The sequence below is a fragment of the Homo sapiens genome, chromosome 6 (assembly GCF_000001405.40).
Source record: "Homo sapiens chromosome 6, GRCh38.p14 Primary Assembly".
Classification (NCBI taxonomy): Eukaryota; Metazoa; Chordata; class Mammalia; order Primates; family Hominidae; genus Homo; species Homo sapiens.
In genome coordinates this window covers 96,358,710-96,382,999 of record NC_000006.12, presented here as the reverse complement: position 1 = coordinate 96,382,999, position 24,290 = coordinate 96,358,710, and the positions used below count along the sequence as shown (strand labels likewise).

Here is a 24,290-nt window from a genome sequence, read left to right as displayed (position 1 = left end):
ACTCTAATAATCCACCTTTATTTAGAAGTAATTATTTCATGACTTGATAATGGAAATTTCTCCTAAATTGCCTATGATACTTCTCAAATCCATTATTTATATTACTGCCAAATTAATTATCCTAAAAATGTAGTTTCACTGTGATATCTTCTCTAGTAAAAAATTTTAATAACTCTACAATGCTCACAACATCAAACTGAGATTTCTTAGTTCACCATTTTATGTCTTCATACACAGTATGTTCTCTATCTAGTTACCAAGCCTCATATCTAGTTATTTTCCTACATATACAGTAGTCCCTCCTTATCTACAATTCTTCTTTCCATAGTTTCAATTACCCGCAGTCAAGCATTGTCTAAAAATATTACATAGAAGTTTCAAATTGTGGCTATCCTAAGTAGCATGATAAAATCTCACACTGTCCTGCTCTGACTCGCCTAGAACATGAACATTTGTCCAACATATTCATGCTGTATGCCCTACCCACCCATCAGTCACTTAGTAGCTGTCTCAGTTATCAGATCAGTGTTGCTATGTTTGTATTTAAATAACTCTTATTTTACTTAAAAGGGGGTCCAAAGTGCAAGAGTAGTGATGCTGGAAATTCAGATACGCCAAAGAGAAGCCATCAGCTTCTTCCTTTAAGTAAAAAGATAAAAGTTCTTGACTTAATAAGGAAAGGAAAAATATCATTTGCTGATGTTGTAAAGATCTACAGTACAATAAAATATTTTGAGAAAGAGAAAGACCATGTTCCCACAACTTTTATTTTAGTATATTGTTATAATTGTCCGATTTTATTATTAGTTATTGTTGTTAATCTCTTACTGTGCCGAATATATAAATTGAACTTTATTAAAGGTATGAAGATATAGGAAAAAAACATGGTATATATAGTTTGTTACCATCCAAATTTTCAGCCATCCACGGGGGCTCTTGGAATGTAAGCCGGGGACTAATGTGGCTTTTACTCTGGCTTTCTTAATATTGCTTGATTATAGCTTTTACCTTTTATATTTATTATATTTTCTCCCTGAAATACCCTCCCTCTCTAATTCAGTTATGAAAATCATACTCATTTTCTAAGGTTCACTCAAATCCTACTTCTTCCATGAGATTTTCCTAATTGCACTTGTGGGAAGTTATCTCTCTTCTCTGAATTCCAATAGTATTGTTTTTCTCATTTGGTGCTCATCAGATATTGCTGTAGCTATTTCAAAACATAACATATCTGCTCAAGCAGATAACAAAACTTGAAAAACAGAAACTGTTTTTATTTTTTATTTATTTTATTTATTTATTTTTTTGTATACCAAACAAAAGCTTGAGCCTAATAGGTACATGGAAAGTATTTTTAATGAACAGTAAAGACTAACACATCAAAGTACAATACCCACATGAGAGATTAAATATTACTTTTTAAGATAATGATAATATCCTGAAAGCATGAGGATGAAATTTATAGGCCTAAAAGACTGTTTTCATGATGCCCATGTAATCTCAGTAGGGTATATTTAACTTCGAAAACTATTTCCAACCAGCATACCATAAATTTTAAATAGAGTTCACAAAAGGGCATAATGAGTCACTAGATTTATATAGAAAGTGATGCTAAAGTGCCCTAGGATTAATCACTTACTAGATCTTAATCTTAGCTTTATTTTATTTGTTTAAAAAAGTAGATAATATTTGTCTAAATGGAGTCACTATTTATTCATTTATCTAAAAATATTTGTTGAACATTGATTATGTGAAAGTTATTGAACTAGGAACTGGAGATACAATGGTAAACTCTTCCCTGATCTATGCTGAATTTGGGAAAAATTAAGATTATCAATTATTATTGTCATATGAGGGGAAAAGAACATTTATATTTCAAAGACAGACAAAAGACCATGGACTATTTGGGGAAATAAATGACATGTTATCAAATTTTATAAATTCTTCCAAAAAATGTAGGCATCCACTATGTATCATGTACCATAGTGTGTGAAGGGCAGCTATTCTAGGCTTTATTATTGTTCAACAGTTTATATTCCTGTCCCCAGCAGAATGGGCAGAATATATTTCACCCTCATTGATTTTGGGCTTGTTCATGGGATTTCTTTGACTAATGAAATGTGTGAAGATGAGACAGTGTGACTATTCTTAAATGAGGCTTAAGAAGTGTCATGAGTTTCTCTTTCTTCTTGCATTATTGCCATTTGCCAAAATACCATTCCTCATGCAATCACTGTTTCTGTAGTCTTAGTCCCAGAATGAAAACTATGTGGAGACTATCTAAACTCAACCAGAAGCCTGGCGTCTTAATTAGTCAAGCCAGCTGAATGTTGGGTTGACATAAAATCTTAACAAGAAATAAATTTGTTATTCTAAGACTCCTAGAAGTTTTTTTTGTGTTACTGTAGCAAAAACGGAATCATACAGCAGTAAATGGGATATTGTGTCTGCTGGAGAAGAAAGACACTATTAAGCAGGTAATTATCAATGCTCTGTGTGTTTGGGAGAAATGGAGCATTTCTGGAAATGTGTATAGCAGGTGGACTTACATTATATTGAGCAAAAAGAAAAGCTTTCTGAGGTTCCTACTGCCTTATACAGATTAATTTATCTTCTAATAATTTTTTAGTATATTCCATACCAACTTCCATTAGGGAACAGATATTCCTTTGGGAAACTACATTTCAGGATAATCAGGTGCCATATTCAAAGCCAAAAGCAAATTCTATTTTCATTTCATGTATTAGTTCTACACAGTTATACATTATTTTGGTAAAGGACTAAAGGGATCCTTCATCAAAATTTAATGCCAATATTCCTGTAGATTCTGTATGACAGGTAACCTCTACAGGTATAGGCTTACTTTATAGTAATTGAGACTATGTCTCTCAGGTTATAGAATAAGAGATTCTTTAGCTTAGTGTAGTCTTTGAGGTGACCTGATCCAACACCTTCATCTTGCATGCGAAGCCACGGAAGCCCGTAGAGGTCAATTTACTTGCCTAAGTCCCCTGTTGGAATTCGGGGAAGTTCAGGAATGGAGTTCAGGTATTCTGATTTTTGGGTCACAATGCATGCAACATTGAAAAAAAAGTTTTCTCCAAGTTACTGGCCTTTGATGAATTTTAGAGAAAGAGTTGTCTATAAATATTGTAAGTTCATGTGGTGGTTTAACTTACATGCAAGAGGTCAATTTTAGAGGCTGAAAATTTTTATTAGCTGTGGGGCAAAAGGATCATTATACTATCGACCAATGTTTCCTACATTTACCTGCCATCCCTGGACATATTATATACTTTTATTTATGATATCTTTCACAGTTTATAATTAAACAATTATTTCTGTGATTACTCAATTAACATATATCTTTCCTTTTATACTCTAAGATGGTAGAGTAATGAGTGCAGTGCTTGACACATGGTAAGTACTGTAATTAATTTTTTTTTCTAAAACAAGTGGAATGATCATGATTCACCATACGGTGTGAAGGGTGTCCCAGGCTAATTGACCTCCTGTTGGCAAATTGTCAACAGAACATATCAATTTTTCATGGAGTCTGAAAGACATGAATTACTTACCTTCATGATATTTTTTATTAACAGATTACACAATGAATATAATATTAAATTATAGCTTTAATGATAATAAAATATAAACTGACATACAATTATTTCATTAAAATTATTTTATTTAAGAAAAAGTTGAGTGCACAATGATTCATGAAATGAAGATCTATTCAAGTGGAATGAATAGAATTACTAATAAAAGACTTCAAAATTATGTGAATGGCTAACACTTAAGATATAGCAAACTAGAAATGCAACAGTGCCTCTAATATACTATCTTAATATTAAGAAGAAATATCTGTTAGATTAGAATGGTCTCATTGCCTAATTTGTAATGCTGCATCACTGAGACATGTAAAAAATAAAGTTTTAAGGAGAGTGATAAAAGTCCCCGATACTTATTTTGCCCATTTTATTTTTTGGCATTCTAGAGCTAAAAGGATATGAGGAAAGGGAAGTCCTATGTATAACTCAATAACTGCGTTTATGGTCCTGATATATAGACATTCCAGAGCCCCAAAAGATCTTCACTCTGCTTTCTTTGTTGTTTGACCTGCTGCATTCTCCAAGAAATTACCATGGGCCATTTAAGAATAGTATGATGCCCTCTGGCCTCGAAAATTAGGGCTATGTATAGCAAAACTTGAACTAACAAGAATGCTCTATTACTGAGTAAAAATTATCCAGGTGTACCTATGATTGTGAAAGAATCATGAATTATTAGGGTTTCTGAGGAGGCCATCAACAAATATCATCCCTCTTTCTCACATTATTGTTAAATTATTTGAGCCATAAAACAAAAGAGTAAATATATGAGCCAAAATATAATCCTTATCACTGCCAGAAGTGAAGAAGCATAACGTGGCTTTAGATGCATTAGCAGAATGGGCTTGCTACCAGAATCCCAGAATTAGAAAGATTTCATCCATTTATGGAAAACTCTGGACATGGGGCAGGTATCCTCTCAACAGACTCTGGCACAACTTGTAGCATGAAAAGACAAAGGAGGGCTAATGGTCTCTGTTGGAGGCTGGCATCAAGAGAAAACAGGAAGGTGAGGAAGATTTTGTTCTTCTCACATTTCCAATCAGAAATGTCACGCCATCTTCTCAATGCCAGAAGTACATTAATTGAGCTCTGTACACACAAAGAAAATTAAAGTAGAGGAAAGTTTGCCCCAATTATGCTTGATGAAAATATTTTTAGTGGCAAGATACTAAAGTTGGATTGCATAAAGAAAATGTGGTACATATACACCATGGGATACTACATAGCCATTAAAAAGAATAAAATCATGTCCTTTGCAGCAACATAGGTGGAGCCAGAGGCCATAATCCTAAGCAAATTAATGCAGGAACAGAAAACCAAATACTGCCTTTCTCACTTACAAGTGGGAGCTAAACATTGAGCACACATGGACATAAACATGGGAAATACAGACACCGGGACCTGCTAGAGGGGTGTGGGTTGAAAAACTACCTATTGGATACTAAGCTCACTACCTGGGTGCAATATACCCATGTAACAAACCTGGAAAAACCCATATCTATAAAAGTTGAAATTTTAAAACAAAGATACTAAAGTTTCTATTAAAAAGTAGGAACAAAATTGGGTCTCACATCATCTCCTTTCAAGAACAGAAAGATCTCGGTTGCAAGTAAGAGGTAAGAAAAATTTCTGGCAAGATGTTTATTTTGATGTGGACAAAAAACTAGGTATGTTTCTATAAAAGAACACTGAATAACTGAAAATCAGTTGGAAATCATAAAAAAGGTAACTTAATGTACTTTTTAACATGAGAAATATATATAAAATGTGTTCACCTAATTTTTAGAGTTACTACTTTATCATAAAGAAATACGTGTTTATTGTAAAAATATTTAGAAAGTAGGAAATAGATAAAGGGAATATGTCTTTCTTATTCATAATTTTCAGAATCAATTTTTCTTTACATGTTCTTTGTTTCTCTACAATATTTTGTATATCTTTTGATACTAGGTCATACAGACAATGCAGTCTTAAAACTAAAAAATTCACACACATCTCAGTCTGGTTATGAAATTCCCTAAGAAAGTTTAAATGAAGAGACTTCGTGAAAGGATTCCACATGGAATTGTGGTTGGAGATCAGGAACAAATGAGGGTTGTTGGGCATCCGATGCCAGCAACCACAGGAAGTTATAGGGCCAAGAGACAAAAGAAGGACATATTGTTTTTTGGAAGCTCAGTAGGAACTGATGTGGCTAAGGAAGGGCAGCTTCATGGCAACTGTGGCTTTTTTTTTTTTTTTTTTTTTGAGACGGAGTCTTGCTCTGTGGCCCAATGTCATAACCTCGGCTCACTGCAAGCTCCGCCTTCCGGGTTTATGCCGTGCTCCTGCCTCAGCCTCCCGAGTAGCTGGGACTACAGGCGCCTGCCACCACGCTCGGCTATTTTTTTCTATTTTTTAGTAGAAACGGGGTTTCACCGTGTTAGCCAGGATGGTCGCGATCTCCTGACCTCGTGATCCGCCCGCCTCGGCCTCCCAAAATGCTGGGATTACAGGCGTGAGCCACCGCGCCCGGCCATAACTGTGGCTTTAAAGAGACACAGCTTCTGCTGGAGAAGCTGCCCAACAGCAGAGAGGGATCAGGAAAAAAATCCACTATCTCTCCCCGTTCGTACCCTTTGATCTCCTGCCAGTGACCCTCATAGGCCAAAGCCAACTGAAAGCCCAGAAGGCAGAGAAACCATAGGATGCAGCCTGCATTAGTCAGCTTGCCAGAAAACAGGTCAGAGAAGGGAATGGAAGGTACCGGATCAGGAAGGTGGGGAACAAAAGGAGAACAATTGTGCACAACTAATTAAAAATTACTTATGAGTAGATTTCTATGGCTGTGTAATAGTCCAATATAACCAGACCATCTATTACAACCACTACCTGTTGATTAAATGTTTAGATTGTATCCAATCTTTTCGCTTATAAACCACATTTTCAATGCATAGCTTTCTTCATTTCTACAATTTTCTTACAGTACATTCTTAGAGGTCGAATTATTACATTAAAATGTACAAATATTCTTAGGCTGCTTAAAACTTGCTGATAATGTTTTTAAACTGTACATATTAGCCTTCCACCAGCAGTGTAAGAGTGTGCTTATTTTACTGAACATTTTTGAGCATTGCATATTCTCATAAAAAAATTTATTCCATGAGAATTTGTCCACAAAAACAAATTTACATATTTTTTAAAAGAAACCTTTAAAGATGCATCTCTCTAATTCTGTGACAAATCTTTTTCCATATGCCTTCCTAACCTAATTGTTTCAGCATTGTGAGGTAATAGTATGTTGTTGCTGTTGCTGCTGCTGCTGCTGTGCCAGCATCATTGATTTAATAATTCTGTCTCTCCAAATACTGATTTGGGTTGCTTCCTTTATCATTTGGTGCATTATTGCATACAATGATGTGTGTTTTCTGAGCTATCTGATTTATTTCATATTTCAGTCAATTTTTGTGCAATGTGGCAGAAACAGCAGCTCTCTGCTAAGCCATTCTGTGAAATATTTTGACGATGCGATGCAACAAAAGATAGGGTCTAGGCTCCCTAAATATATTAGGAGACTCTCCATCTCCTTCTTTAGTTTTCAGCAGTTGCTGATCAACTTTAATGATAACAACAACACAAAACAAATGAAATGACAGCAGCATTCAACACCATGTGCCAGGTATTGTGAAGAAGCTACTGCAACACCTCAGACCATAGCCACAGTGCCTCTCTTCTAAGTCATGAATGAATTTTGGGGAGGATTAAGTATTTTCCTTCAATAATTTGTTGATTCTATTTTCTAAATACTTAAATTTCTCCACTTCTTTCTACTCTCATTGCCACTGCACTATTCAGGCCATCATCTCTTTTGTTAGATTAATGCAGAATTTTCTGTTCTCATCTCGTTTGATCTTTCAGTAGCCTGTTGTTTAACTTATCTGTTATTATTATTTTTTTAATTTCAGTGACTATTTTTATTTCAGGAATCTCCATTTGGTTCTTTTTCAAATACATGAGTTTTTTTCCCTCATAAAATCCTTACTCTTGATGGATTCTCTTGCTTCCTTGATCTCTCTAAATATTTTAAACCTACTTATTTTAAAAGGTCTTTTGAATCTCTTTGATCTCTGTTTCCTTAGTATGAAGTATCTCATTCTGGCTTTTGCTGTGCTTGTCTCCAGTGGGAGATTTTTCCCCAAAGACCTGGACATTCCTTGGATTTTGAAAATCCCTGTGTTGCAATTTCAATGTTACCAGGACCCTATTGGGTCACCAGTTTGCGACTATGTTTAATACTAGCTTCGTGTTCAAGGCTTCGGAACCGTATGGATATTGTGAAGTTGGGTTGCACCCTCATGCAAGATAAAGGCTTGGATCCTGTTTTGCTGAGAATTATTCTTTCTACTCATGGCCCAGGCAAGGTTTCTGTCTCTAAATCAGAGGTTGTAGCTTTTACAGTCTCCATGTGTATATAGTTTTAAAATCAGTTGAGTAAGTACCTTAGGAGAGCAATTGCTGGATTGTGTGATAAGACTGTTCATGTTTGTAAAATAATTTGTTTATCCATTTTTCTTTCCAGTAATTTGTTTATCCATCAATAAACAATTGGGTTGTTTACACTCTTTAGTTATTGTGAATAATACCACTAGGAACATACCCAGAGGTTGAACTGTTGGATCATATGTTAGTTCTATTTTTAATATTTTGAGGAACTTCCATACTGTTTTTCATTTCTTTTTCTTTTCTTCTTCTTCTTTTGTTTTTGTTTTGTTGTTGTTGTTGTTGTTGTTGAGACAGAGTCTCACTCCGTTGCCCAGGCTGGAGTGCAGTGGCACAGCTAACTTCTAACCTCCACCTCCCGGGTTCAAGCAATTTCTTGCCTCAGCCTCCCGAGTAGCTGGGACTATAGGCATGCACCTCCATGCTTGGCTAATTTTTCTTTTTTTTATTTTTAGTAGCGATGAGGTTTCACCATGTTGGCCAGGCTGGACTCAAACTCCTGACCTCGTGATCCACCGCCTTGGCCTCCCAAAGTGCTGGGATTACAGACCTGAGCCACCACACCCAGCAGGAACTTCCATACTGTTTTTCATAGTGGCGGCACCATTTTGCTTTTCTGCCAACTGTGCAGAAAGGTTCCAGATTCTCTCCATCCTCACCAATTTTCTGGGAATTTATTTCATAACAACCATCCTAATGGGTATGTGTTTATATCTCACTGTGGCTTCAATTGGCATTTCTCTAATGATTGCTGATGTTAAATATCTTTTCATGCACTTATTGGTGAATTGGTCTTGTGTATGTCTTCTTTGGAGAAATGTCTATTCAAATCCTTTACCTATTTAAAAATATCCTTTTGGTTTTTTGTTGTTGAGTTGTAGAAAATCTTTGTGTATTCTAGATATCCTTTACCAAATATATGATTTGCAGATATTTTCTCCAATTTCTTGGATTGTATTTTGCTTCTGTATGGATATTTGTATCCCCTCAGAGTTCATTTATTTAGATCCTAACTCCCAAGCTGACAGTATTAAGAGCCAAGGCCTTTGAGAGATGATCTTTGTAAGATCTTACAGATCTTAAGGGCCCTCATAAATGCTATTTGTGCTGTTATATAAGAGAACGCAGAGAGCTATCTAGCCCTTCCCATCATGTGAGGACATAGCAAGAAGTCACCATCTATGAGGAGGAAGATCTTCACCAGACCCAAATTTGCTGGCACCTTGACCTTGGGCTTCCCAGCCTTCAGAACTGTAAGAAATAAATTTGTGTTGTTTATAAGCTACTCAGTTTCTGGTATTTTGTTATAGCAGCCTGAACAGACTGTGACATCTTTTCACTCTGCAATTTGGTTCTTTTAAGCTAAAAACATTTTTACATTTTTGTGAAGTCCAATTTATCAATTTTTTCCTTTCATGGATCATGCTTTCAGTGTCCAATTAAAAACTTACCGCTAAACCAAAGGTTATGTAGATTTTCTCCTGTTTTCTTCAAGAAGTGTTCCAGTTTGCATTTTACGTTTACATTTATAATCTGTTTTTAGTTAATTTTTGTAAAAAGTATAAGGCTTGCATCTGAATTTATTGTTTTGCATATGGGTGTTCAAATGTTTCAGCCATTTGTTGAAAAATACTATTCTTTCTCCATTCAGTTCCTTTTTTATCTTTGTCAAAAATTAATTTACTATATTTGTGTGGGTCTGTTTATGGACTCTCTGTTCCATTGATCTATGTGTCCATTCTTTAGGTAATACCATATCTTGATCATCATAGATTTTAGTAAATCTTGAGACAGTGAAGTGTGAACACTACAATTTTTTTGTGCTTCTTCAGTATTATATTAGCTCTTCTAGGTCTTTTGCCTTGCTATATAAACTTTTGAATCAATTTGTTAGTATTTACAAAATAGCTTGATGGAATTTTTATTGAGATTGCATTAAATCTATATATCAAATTGGGAAGAACTGACATCTTAGCAATATTAAGTTTTCCAGTTCATGAACACAGACTATCTCTTTGTTTGGTCTCTATGCAAAGATGGAAAAATACTTGTCTAGCTCTAAGTTTTTCTTTTCCAGAAAGCTCAGTTCCAAGTCCTTTACCAGGCCTGGGCCTTATGGCCCAAAGTCTAATTCACACAGTGTATTAAAATCCATGTGTCTAAGGTATGTATAATGTCCTGTTCACTTCCTGAACCACAGCTTCTTTCAACAGACTAGATTTATTTGATTTGATTTAAGGTACTTTAGAGACTTTCTCTCTGGGTATTTAAAATGCTGTTCCTTCTCTCTGGGATCTCTGCTCTTTTCTCTATACTTATCTCTAAATCTGAGTTTAGACACCATAATCTCAGTGAGGCTTCATCTGCTTCCTGACTAGGTTGAAATTTCCTCTTTTGCACTCCCTCCATTCTAGTGCTTATAAACCAGGCAGTAGAAACAAATAATTTCAAATAAATACAAATCCTTTACTTCATTTACTAGTGTACTTTGTAAAAGGCACACAAAATCACCAACAATCCTTCTTAAAATCCTTTTTAAATTTCCTTTTTCACCCTCTGTCAACACAAACTCTATTTTTTTTCATAGCCTCTTTTCACAGAAACATGAAAAAAAATTCCTTTGAGTCCCAGGGACTATTAGCTCTATAGCCAATATCTTCTGTTCCTAGTTTTCAATATGTAATGAACTTATCTACCATTCCTTAATCCTTCTCCATTTCCTCCCCTGCCAATTTTCTGAATTCTCAGAGAAGAGCAAAAAAAAAAAATTCTGGAAAGATTCATTATTTTTGAAGGGTTAGAGAGGAGATCCTGTGTGGTCACAGCCACACTCTGCTTTTCAAGTCATGGCTCTATCTGCTTTCTTCATTTCCTATTTCTAGCACCCAGAAAAATTATCTGCAACAAGCAAGCATTCAACAAATGAATAAATGTCTGCCTTTCTTTATTTATCACACTTAAATGTAGAAATTTTCTCAAATATGTATTTCTTGGTTGAAGCTCTTATTCTGGATATTTTAGTTTTTATGCATTTAAACATAGGCACCTTTTTCTATTAAAAAATTAACAAAAATTAAGATTGGGTGTGGTGGTTCATGCCTATAATCCCAGCACTTTGAGAGGCTGGAGAGGGTGGATTGCTTAAGCCTGGGAGTTTGAGGCCAACATGGCAAAACTCCATCTCTACAGAAAATACAAAAATTAGCTGATCATGGTGGCACATCCCTGTTGTCACAGCTACTCAGGAGGCAGAAGTGGGAGGATCACTTGAGCCCAGGATAGCTTGAGGCTGCTGTGAGCTGTAATTGCACCACTGCAATCCAGCCTCGGCAATAGAGTGAGACCCGGTCTCAAATAAATAAATAAATAAATAAATAAATAAAATAAAAATAATATAGTTCATGATGTTTTGTATGCTTGTTTTCCCTGGTCCATTATTATCATATCTTGGACATCTTATTATGTCAATAAAACTAAATTACATAATTATTTTAATGACTGTATTTATTACAATTCTCATTTCCATTTAACCAATTCTTATTTTTTTGTAAGATAGGTCATTTGTAATTTTTTACTATTAATTATAAACTATGCCCTAATTCATAATTAATATGTAACTATATGTAATTTTTTGCTATTAATTATAAACCATGCTATTTTGAATGACATTTTATATGCATCTTTGTACTGTTTAAAAATTTCCTGAAGATAAATTCCTAGAAATTAAAATGTTCTCATAAAGCATAGATAAAGCATATGCAAAATTTAAATTATTATGCATTTTCCAGACTGTCCTCCAAAAAATTTATGTAAGTTCGCTCTCTCACTACCAGTACTTTGAATTTCCTTTTCTTCACACTCTTGACAACTGAAGGTATCCTCCAAAATGTCATCTTTGCCAATCTGATAAGGTGAAAAAAAGCTATCTTATTTTTAATTTTACTTGCATTTCTTTATGTGATTGGGAAATTAATATTTTTTCATGTGCTTGTTAGCTATTTGTAATTTTAGTTTTCTTAATGCACTTTAATTTCTATTTGATGTTCATCACTTTCTCACTAATTTTTAAGAATCTTAAAAAAATTATCATATTAACCTTTTCTCTTTCCTATATGCTAAATGATATAAACGTTTACTCATGTTCATTTTCCTTTAAATATTTTTTTTTATTAAAATAGTAAGTGAGAAAGCTCAAGTAGCCACATGGAGAGGTCATGTGTAGGTATTGTGACTGGCAGACCTAGCTGAAGTCCCAGCCCATAGCCAGCATCAACTGCAAGTCACGTGAATGAAAAGCCTTCAGATAATTCCAGCCCCTAGTCATTGCATTATTCTCAGGCACCACGTCTTCCCAGCTGAGACTTCAAACATAATGTAATAGAAAGAAGCTGTTCCTATGGCATCCTACCTGAATTTCTGACTCATAGAAGATGTGAACATAACAAATGGTTGTTTTACGTCACTAAGTTTGAGGTGGCTTGTTACACAGCAACGATTAATGGAAAAACAGTCTTTCATATTTTCATCCACGTACAAATTTCAATGGTCATCATCTGCTACTATCCTTCTAAGGAACATGTCAGTCTGACATATACATTTCCTAGCCATTCCATTTTCAAAGAAACTACTCTCGCTCAAATACTCTTCACATAACAGTACCGCTCATTTTTCTGGGCCTTGAACAGCTGAAAAAATTAAGGAGAGAGTCACTTCTCTCAAACTGACTTAACTAGAATATTTACCTGGGTATTTGAAATAAGGATGATGAGAGCCTGAATTAATTGGCAATGGAATAGAAAAGAGAAACATGGGGAAGGAAATTTCACTTATGAATAACAGAAGTTTTGAAAATTCTACAGTTGTCACTTTTTTTGTGTGTTCTAGATGTTTAAATTTTTCTTTGATTCAAAATCATATGTATAATTAAAATGCTTATAGTCACTAGCTTAGGAGGCTTTCATTTTCTTGCTATAAACCATCCTTGACTTTACTCAGATGGTATACTTCGGTTGTTCAGAACTGATTTTACTCATACTGTTCTCTCTCTCTGGAATGCAAACTTCAATGCTCAAATCTTAGCTTCTTTTGGAAATATTCTTGAGTTTCCAAGGTGCAATTTATGATTTTATCTGTAGTGATTTACTTTGCACTCTACTCACACCTTTAGAACCAACTCTCCCACTGGATTTTAATCATTTGTGTACATTTTTTGTTCCCCCACTGGATTGAACACGAACAGAATGAGCAACACTCATTATCATATACAGTAGCACAGCATGAGAAATTCACCCTTATCACATGACCTTTTAAGTTGCATATGATTTGTACAATTCTACCAAAAATGATCAGTCCTAAGAGACAGTATGCATTTTAGTCTCTACTCAGAATAGGTGGGAAATTAATATTTATTATATTGTATGTTCCAGGTACTCTCAGAAACCACCTCTGGCCTGAAAAGGGGCCGACTGAAACATATACCTATTTGAAGATCCCTGGCACACAGATACAGCAGAAGAAGCCCAAATGGTAAGATACTCATGACTGTGTCATGGATGGGCCATGCTGAAACCAGATTAACCATTCCAAGAAAGGAGAGTAATTTACCTTCAATTACTTGATAGAATTGGTTATAATCCCAATAGCTAAATATTTATAAAATGTGTACCACCATTTACTTTTTCCAGTAGCTACTATATAAATACCAATTGGATAATTTTTGAAGCACTGAGAGTTATAAAATGAAAGATGCTATAGTAATACCGAGAATTATTATCTCCTTGAAAAATAAAACAGGTAAGATATAGATTCATAAAATTTGCTGATGACAGATAGCTATCATTAGTCCTTCACAGGAATGAGAGAAAAAAATGAATCTTATGCAAATAAATGGACAGAGTTTATAAAATGAATACAACTAAATGAAATACCTTAGAAAGTGAATAGCTAAGTACTTAGGAAAAAAGAGAAGAATGTACTCAAATTAAATAACAAGGAAAGTTATATTTCAGGGAACATAAAAATAAGCACAGTTCATAGTGAAGGTGAAATTAGAATATGCATAATGTGAAATAAAAAGAAAAATGTAATTTGGGTTAGATTTTCTGAGCAGCTAACTGAACTTTTCAGGTGACAATTCCTTTCCATTCTGCAGTGAAATGACACAGCAGGAGGTATGACTTTTCTTTTTTCTTAGCATTTTTGCCATTTAGAAATGGAATATGTGAGGGGATTTATTCTATTTAAAACAAAAAATGGAACTTTAAATGTGGTATCATGAAGCTAGATTTGAAATATTAATAACCTGATTTACATTCTACCTCTCTGGAAAAATGTAAGCAACAGAATTTCCATGAAGCTCTAAGGGTTTGAAATTAGCTTAGAATGCTAATAGGGCAGGGCACATTACTACAAAATATTTGAAGATCGTAAGCACCAAGATGGGAAGGAGAATGCTGTCTGATCCAAAAGAGAATAATGAAAAGAAATAGGAGGAAATTGAGCAAAGGAAACTTTATCCTACTATCCAAAAAATTGCTCAACAGTGACAGTGGAACAGAGCCCCAAGGAAGTGCTAAAAGGTTGATGACATGGAGAATTTGAACCAGTCTACATCTCTCTCTCTCTTTTCTTTTTTGAGACAGAGCCTTGCTCTGTTGCCCAGGCTGGAGTGCAGTGGTGCGATCTCAGCTCACAGCAATCTCCGCCTCCCAGGTTTAAGCGATTCATGTGCTTCAGCCTCCTGAGTAGCTGGGATTACAGGCATGCACCATCACACCCGGCTAATTTTTGTATTTTTAGTAGAGATGGAGTTTCGCCATGTTGGTCAGGCTGGTCTTGAACTCCTGGCCTCAAGTGATCCACCCGCCTTGGCCTCCCTAAATTCTGGGATTACAAGCGTGAACCACTGCGCGCTGCCCCAGTCTACATCTCAGTGAAAAAATCCTGTTTAACATCATTCAAAATACGCTGCCTAGGCTTGGTGGGAGAGGCAACATATAGCAAGCATTATTTTTCTCTCATTTGTAGCAGCCCTAGTTGATCAGGTTCACATATATTGTGTGCTTATCACTTCTGGATCTGGAAATTACAAATGTGCATGGAACATAGGAAAAAGCAAAGGAGACTCAATCATTTAAAAATTGTAGAGCTGGCCGGGCGCGGGTGGTTCACGCCTGTAATCCCAGCACTTTGGGAGGCCGAGGTGGTCAGGTCACGAGGTCAAGATCATCCTGGCCAACATGGTGAAACCCCGTCTCTCCTAAAAATAGAAAAATTAGCTAGGCGTGATAGCGTGCGCCTGTAGTCCCAGCTACTCAGGAGGCTGAGGCAGGAGAATAGCTTGAACCCGGGAGGCAAAGGTTGCAGTAAGCTGAGATCGCACCACTGCACTCCAGCTTGGGTGACAGAGCGAGACTCCGTCTCAATTAAAAAAAAAAAAAAGAAAGAAAAACAAAACAAAAACAAAAACAAAAGAAAAATTGTAGAGCTGAGAGAAACTAAAGAGTCAATATGCCCCAGCTTATTTATTTTACAAATTAAACCACCACCACCACCAAGGAAACAAACAAGCTCCAAACTTAATGCCCAAGAGTAAGTGATTAATTGAAGATCATATAATTAGCCTGTGGCAAAGCCAAAACTGGGACCAACATTTCCTGACACAAACAAAAAATCTAGTTTCCTTTCTATTCATATTCTCTTGGCCAATCAAGAGCTTTCATAACTGCTTAGTAACTGGATGCCAAGCGGCTTAGACCTCCTATCTTCCTGAATTTAATTTGTGTAATACAGCAAGTCTCCATAGCCTGAGCTTCTTAGCACAGATTGGAACAGGAGCCGAAAACTCAAATAGTATTGGGACAAGACTGGTAATAGAAATTATCAAAGCAGATAAATGTTTCCATATTAAATGAATAGAAATAATTCTCATTTTCCACAAAGTCATATGTACCCATTGTTTTCCTTTTTGACAAATAAACTTTGGGTATATTTAAGGGATACAATGTGATGATTTATGTATACATTGTGAAATGATTACCACAATCAACATAATTAACACGTCCAACACCTCACATTACCATTTGTGTTGTGTGTGTGTTCATGTGTGGTGAAAACAGTTAAAGATCTATTCTCTTAGGAAATTTCAAGTCCATAATAGAGTATTTTTAACTACAGTCAGCATACTATACATTACACCTTCAGAACTTATTCATCTTATCACTGAAAGTTTGTATACTTTGATTAACATCTATCCATCCCCCAACCTTGGCAACCACCATTCCACTTCCATGGATTCAAATTGTTTAGATACCACATATGTGGATTTATAAAGTATTTGTCTTTTTTGGGTGACTTATTTCATTAAGCACAATGTCCTCCAGGTTCATCGATGTTGTTTCAAATAGCAGGATTTCTTTCTTTTTTATGGCTAAATAATAGTCCATTATGTATATTTACCATATTTAAATAATCTATTAATCCATTGGCAGACACTTTGGTTGATTCCATATCTTGGCTTTTGTGAGTAATGTTGCAATGAACCTGGGAGTGCAGATATCTGTTTGAGATACTGATTTTATTTCCTTTGGATGTGTATCCAGAAGTGAAATTTCTGGATCATATGGTAGTTCTATCTGATTTTTTGAGAAAACACCATACTGTTTTCCATAAGGGCTAAACCAGTTCACATTCCTTCTAACAATGTACTAGGGTTCCCATACTCCTGCCAACACATTTCTTGTCTTTTTTGTAATAGCTATTCCAAGAGGTATGAGGTAATATATCATTGTGCTTTTGATTTGCATTTCCCTGATAATTAGTGTTGTTGAGAACATTTTCATATACCTGTTGACCAGTTGTATTAATATATCTTCTTTGAAAATAAAGTCTATTCCAATCCTTTGTCCATTTTTAAAAATATGGCTATTATTATTTTTTGCTATTAAGTTGTATAACTTTCTTATACATTTTTGTATCTTAACCCATTATCAGATACATGGTTTGTAAATATTGTCTCCCATTCCATTAGTTGCCTTTCATTTTTGTTGATTGCTACCTTTTCTGTGCTGGATCTTTTTATATAGTCCCACTCATTTATTTTTGCTTATTTACTTTTAGTTAGTTTTGTTTATTTTTACCTGTTTATTTTTTGTTGTTTGTGCTTTTGTGGTCATATTGAAAAAAATCCTTGCCAAGACCAATGTCAAGAAGCTTTTTTCCTATACAGATGCTCCTTGACTTACAATGGGACTATAATCCAATAAACCCATCATAAGTTGAAAATAGTGTACGTTGGAAATGCATTTAACACGTCACCAATTTAAAAAATCATGGTAAGTCATGGACCATCTGTATTTCCTTCTAGGAATTTTATGATTTCAGGTCTGAGATTTAAGTCTTTAATTCATTTTGAGTTAAATTTTGTGGATAGTATAAGATATGGGTCCCATTTCATTCTTTTGCATGTCAATATTCAGTTTTTCCAACACTGTTTATTGAAGAAACTGTCATTTCCCTATTATGTGTTCTTAGCACCCTTGTTTATTTCTGGGCTCTATATTCTGTTCCATTGGGCTATGTCTGTTGTTATGCCAATACCATGCTGTTTTGATTACTATAACTTGGTAATAAAATTTGAAATCAGGAAATGTGATGGCTCTAGCTTTGTTCTTCTTTATCAAGATTGCTTTGGCTATTTGAGGTCTTTTGTGATTCCATATGAATTTTAGGACTGTTTTTTCTATTTCTGTGAAAAATGTCTTTGAAATTTTGATAAGACTGAATCTATAGATAGCTTTAGGTAGTGTGGACATCTTAATAATATTACTTCTAATCCATGAACATGGGTTTTCATTTACTTGTGTTTTCCTCAGTTTCTTTCATTAATGTCTTATAGTTTTGAGTGGATATACAGATCTTTTACTTCCTTGATTAAATTTATTTCCGACTATTTTATTATTTCTGATGCTATTGTGAATGGGGTTGTTTTTCTAATTTACTTTTTGGAGAGTTCATTGTTAGTGTATAGGAACACAACTGATTTTTGTATGTTAATTTTGTATCCTACATCTTTACTAAATTTGCTTATTAATTCTCACAGGTTTTTGTGGAGCCTTTCGGATTTTTTTATATAAAAGGTAATATCATTTGCAAATAAACAGTTTTACATCTTTATTTCCCATTTGGATACATTTTATTTCTTTTTCTTGCTTAATCCCTCTGGCTGGAACTTCCAGTAATATATTTAATATTAATGGGAAGGGTGGGAACCACTACGCTGTTCCTAATCTTAGAGAGAAGGCTTTCAGCATTTCATCATTGAATATGATGTTAACTGTGGGTTTGTCATCTATGGACCTTATTATGTTGAAGCAGATTTCTTCTATATCTAATTTAAGAGTTTTTTAAAAAATCATGAATAAATATTGAATTTTGTCAAATGCTTTCCCTGCAACTATTGAAATATTTCATTATTATTATTAATAACAGAAACTATTTTTTATTCTGTTAATGTGGTATAGTAAATTTATTGATTTGCATTTATTGAACCATCCTTTCATCCCTGGGATAAATTCCACTTGATTGTAATAAATGAATACTTTAAATGTGCTATGAATTCAATTTGTTAGGTTTTTTAATTGAGGGTTTTTATATCTGTATTCATTTTCTTTTCTTGTGGTGTCCTTATGGGCTTTAGTATGAGGATAATGCTGGTTTTGTAAAATAAGTTTAGAAATGTTGACTCTTTTTCAATTTTTGGGAGTTTTGAGAAGCATTGGTATTAGTTATTCTTTAAAAGTTTGGTACAATTCACCCATGAAGTCATTTGGCTCTGGACTTTTCCTTGTTGGGGAGTTTTTGATTACTGATTCAATCTCATTACTTATTATTGGTCTGTTTGGACTTTCTATTTCTTCATAATTCAGTCTTGGTAGGTTGTGTTTGTCTAGTAATGTATCCATTTCTTCTAGGTTATCTAATTTGTTAGTGTATAATTGTTCACAGTAGTCTCATGATCTTTTGTATTTCTGTGGTATCAGTTGCATTGTCTCCTCTTTCATTTATGGTTTTATTTATTTGAGTCTTCCTTATTTTATTTTATTTTTTTGGTTAACCTAGCTAAAGATTTGCCAGTTTTGTTTATCTTTTTAAGATGCCAACTCTTAGTTTTGTTGATTTTTTCAATTGTCTATTCTCTATTTCATTTATTTGTCCTCTAATTTGTATTACTTCATTTTTTCTACTAACTTTGTGCTTAGTGTTTTTCTTTTTTTAGGCTGTGTATTTGACATCTTTTTTTTTTTTTTTCTCCTTATTGAGATGGAATCTCACTCTGTGGCCCGGGCTGGAGTGTAGTGGCGCTATCTCAGCTCACTGCAACATGTGCCTCCCGGGTTCAAAATATTCTCCTGCCTCAGGTTCCCCAGCAGCTGGGATTACAGGCACCCACCACCAGGCCCGGCTAATTTTTGGATTTTTTAGTAGAGACAGGGTTTCACCATGTTGGCCAGGCTGGTCTCAAACTCCCGACCTTGGGTGATCCATCCACCTCGGCCTCCCGAAGTGCTGGAATTACAGGCATGACCCAGCTAGCCCAGCCTATATTTTCTTAATATGGGCATTTATTGCTATAAACATCTCTCTTAGAACTGATTTTGCTGCATCTCATAAATTTTGGTATGTTGTGTTTTTATTATCATTTGTCTCAAAATACTTTTTGATTTCCTTTTTTCTTTGACCTGTCCTGTTGGTTGTTCAGGAGTGTAATTTCCACACATTTGTAAGTTTTCCAGTTTTCTTCCTATTTCTTGTTTCATGTGATTGTGGTCATAAAAAAAAACTTAATATGATTTCAGACTTCTTAAATTGTTAGGACTTATTTTGTGGCCTAATATATGATTTATCCTGGAGAATGTTCCATGTGCATTCAAGAAGAATGTGTATTCTGCTGCTGTTGGATAGAATGTTCTGTATATGTCTGTTAGGTCCACTTGGTTATAGCATTATGTAAGTCTGTTGTTTCCTTATTGATTTTCTGTCTGGATGATCTATCCATTGTTGAAAAGAGGGAATTTAAGTCCCCTACTATTACAGTGTTACTGTCTATTTCTTCCTCCAGTTCTGTTGATATTTGCTTTCTATATTTAGGTGCTCCAATGTTGAATCTATATATATTTACAATTATTATATCCTCTTGATGAATTGAACCATTTATAATGTCTTTCTTTGTCTCTTATGAAAGATTTTGACTGAAAGTCTATTTTGTCCTATATAAGTATAGCCATCTCCACTTTCTTTCAGTTATCACTTTTGTATTAGAGTTCTCCAGAGAAACATAATTAATAGAATATATAGATAGATAGATTAGATATAGATATAGATAGATGGATAGATAGATAGATAGATAGATAGATAGATAGATAGATAAGACTTATTATGGGAATTGATTCACGTGATTATGAGCACCAAAAAGTCCTAAAATGTGTTGTCTGCAAGCTGAAGAACCAGAAAAACTGGTGGTATAATTACTCTCAGTCTAAAGGTCTGAGAACCAGGGTATCTAATGATATAATTTTTAGTTAAAGGTGAAAGGTGTGAGAATAAGGGTGGGGGAATTGGGTGAGCCCTAGTGTTAGTCTTGCACTCTTAAGGCCTGAAATCTGGGGTTTTCATGTCCAAAAGGAGGAGAATATGGACATATCATCTCCAGAAGAGAAAGCAAATTCACTCTTCCTCTACCTTTTGTTTCATCTGGGCCTTCAACGGCTTGGATGAGGCCTGCCCACATTGGTGAGGGTAACTCTTATTTACTCAGTCTACTGATTCAAATGATAATCTATTCTGAAAACACACTAGCAGATACACCCAGAAAAAAAAAGCTTTTCCTGTGTTTTGTGCATCCCTTAACCCAGGCAAGTTAACACATAAAATTAACCATCATAATCTGCACTATCTTTTTCCATCCCTTTACTTTAAGCCTAGGTGTGTTGTTAAAACTAAAATTAGGCTTTTGTAGGCAGCATATTGTTCAATCTTGATTTTTAAAAAATCTCTTTAGCCACCTATGTCTTCTGTGTAGACAGCTTAAACCATTTACATTTAAAGTGATTATTGATAAGTAAGAACTTACTTTGGCTATTTCGTTGTTTTCTATTTCATAGTTCTTTCTATCCTTTCTTCCTCCTATTTCTGTCTTCCTTTGTGATTTCTTGATTTTTTGTAGTGATATAATTTGGTTAATTTCACTTTATATTTTTATTATTGTTTTAAACATGTCACCATCCTAATTGTCTTTTTTTTTTTTTTTTTTTTTGAGACAGAGTCCTGTTCTGTTGTCCAGGCTGGAGTTCAGTGGCGAGATCTTGGCTCACTGCAACCTCCGCCTCCCAGGTTTAAGCGATTCTCATGCCTCAGCCTTCTAAGTAGCTGGGACTAAAGGTGTGCACCACCATGCCCACCTAATTTTTGTATTTTTTGCATGTTGGCCAGGCTAGTATCAAACTCATGACCTCAAGCAAGCCACCCACCTCAGCCTCCCAAAGTGCTGGGATTACAGATGTGAGCCACTATGCCTGGCCCTAATTATCTTTTGCTTTAATACTTTTTACTAGATTCATTTAATTATTCAGTAAACATTTAAGGCAGAAGCAAGGTTAATATGTTTGAGTAACTGTGGAAGGCCAATGTGGCTAGAATAGAGTGAGCAAAGCAAAGAGTGATTGGACATGACATACAGGAGAATGGCAGGCCCTAGATCATGTTTAGACCTAGTGAATAGTAAGGATTTTTATTTTATTTTATTATGTATGTTACAGAGGAGGTGATTAACTGTCTCAGTTTACTTGGGACCAATAATGTTCCTAGAACATGGAAGTTTTCACGTTAAAGTTAGGAAAGGGCCAGGCGCAGTGAGTCAAGTTGGTCACCCTAGTGATGGGAAACCATCTGATGATTTTAATCACAGTACATAACATGACTTGTTTTAACATTTATGAAGATCACAATGACAGAGAACTGACTAGAAATTTGGGAGTAAGACAGGGAGGCTTGTTAGGTAATTATTGTGGTAGTCTTAGTGAACAACGATGGTGGTCTTTACCAGAGTTTTTGTGATGGCCCATAGTGAGCTGTGGTCAGATTTAGACAACTATCTTTTTTTTTTTCTCTCTCTCTTTCTTTATTATTATTATTATTATTATTATACTTTAAGTTTTAGGGTACATGTGCACATTGTGCAGGTTAGTTACATACGTATACATGTGCCATGCTGGTATGCAACTATCTTGAAGAAAGTGTCAGTAGACTTGTCGAGAGACTATACATCAAGAGTGATGAAAGGAGAAGAGTCATGAAATAGTAACTGGATGAATTACGGTTCTTTTCACTGAGGTGGGGAAAGCTGGTGTAAAAGCAAGACTGAAGAAGAAAATCAAGAGTTTAGGTTCAGATATGTATGCTTGAGAGCCCAATTTGTATTCAAGTGGTGATATGTAATTGGCATGTTCATATGAGTGCAGAGTTCAGAATATTTGAGGGTACAGAATTCTGAGAGTAATCAGTACAAGGAGAAATGTTTAAAGCCTAGTGCATGTGTATGGTCAGAGTATGGTAAGAGATGTGACAAGTACGATATCATGCATAAAATATGAATGGGATATTAAGGAGTGGGATGCAGATAAGGTGAGGATAGCCCTTCAAGTAAGCCTAAAAAGAGTCCATCAATAAGCTAGGAGGAAAAACTTGAAAATACAGTATCATAGGAACTAACAGAAGAAAGCATTTCAAGCACGGGTGATTGAAGAACTTGTCAAATGCTGTTGCAATGTCTAGTTAAGGTAACCACAAAGAGTTAATTTTAGGATTTAGCAAGATAGAAATTACTGGTAAGTTTGACAAGAGTGGTTTCAGTAGAGGAGAGGGAATAAGAGCCTGATTGCAATGATTAGAAAAAGGAAAAGAAGTGAAGGAGGAGAGCTATTCGTGCATTGACTATTTGGGATTTTGCTATAAAAGAGAAATGAGATAGTAGTTTGATTTGGGATGTTAAAAACAACAGAGTATTTCAAAGTTAGAAGATATTACTGCATTTTTGCATGCTGATGAGCAAAAGTCAGTTAAGAGAAAAAAAACTGATAGTGCAGAAAAATGCAAAATCTTTGAGTACGCAAAAATAGAATGGGATTCAGAACATAAGTGGAAGGGTTGGTAATAGATAGAAGCCTGACATTTTACTCATTTTAGTATTAAGTAAGGACATGGGAACAGATGTAGGTTGGTTGAGTACAAGAAATATATCTGCAACAAAAGAAATGGAAGAGCACACTCACACATAAAAATTATCAAGAGTCAATTTACCTTATGGTGGAGAGTCCCTGAGTGCTAGAAGAACTGAGGTAAATTGAAGCGCCCATGCCATCTAGAAGAAAAGCAGCTGCTACTTGGCTCTACCCAAGTATTTGTTGCCTGATCTTCTGATATTCCAAGAGATACTTGACATGTGGATTTTAATGGAAAATCTCTCAACTTTTAAATGTTGCCTCAAATTAAGTAAAACAAAGCAATCAACAGCAGCAACAACAAAAAAGCACCATATAGGACAAGCAATTACTTCTGACATCTAAATCTAACCTAGGGACGATGAGTTGAGATCTTCTGTTCTAGAGGCTTAAAATCTGGTCTCACATCTATGACGGAAGTTAGCATTTGTTCATTGCTTCTGAGGAACCGAAAATTAGGCAAATACTATTGTATATTATCCCACACTCTTACTTCCAATCTAAGAGAAGAAATTTGATTTCCTAGGAAGTCACTAGTTTCCTTGAGACTTACCTGATCAGTCCAAGAGGGATTTGTGTAGAAACTGTGTATAATGCACACAACCTGGAGATTTCTTTTATTCATAACTGGGTAAATGGGGAAAATAAACATAGAAACTAAAAAAGAATTAAGTGATGCAGGAAAAAGGAGCAGAGTCCTGAGACTCAGAGAAAATAACATCCAGGAGAACTACGACCTGGAGCCCAGAGAATTTTTATTAATCTGCTAATATTTTCAATAAGTATTAGTAATTATAAAATGGTAGTAGCAGTAGTAGTAGCAGCAGCAGCTGCTGCTAAAATTTACTGAACCCTCAGTATAGGCCAGGCATTGTTCTAAGTGTTTAATAGGTATTAATTCATTTGAAACTCACACTAAACA

General features: G+C 35.0%; 1 long non-coding RNA gene across 1 annotated transcript in view; it reads left to right on the top strand.

Annotated features, from left to right (window-relative positions):
- The window catches only part of UFL1-AS1 (UFL1 antisense RNA 1), a 321,372-nt gene that overhangs the window by 138,715 nt on the left and 158,367 nt on the right, over nt 1–24,290 (top strand). Inside the window, exon 2 of the long non-coding RNA XR_007059687.1 lies at nt 13,520–13,619. This is a non-coding gene — a long non-coding RNA (UFL1 antisense RNA 1). The remainder of the gene's footprint in view (nt 1–13,519; nt 13,620–24,290) is intronic.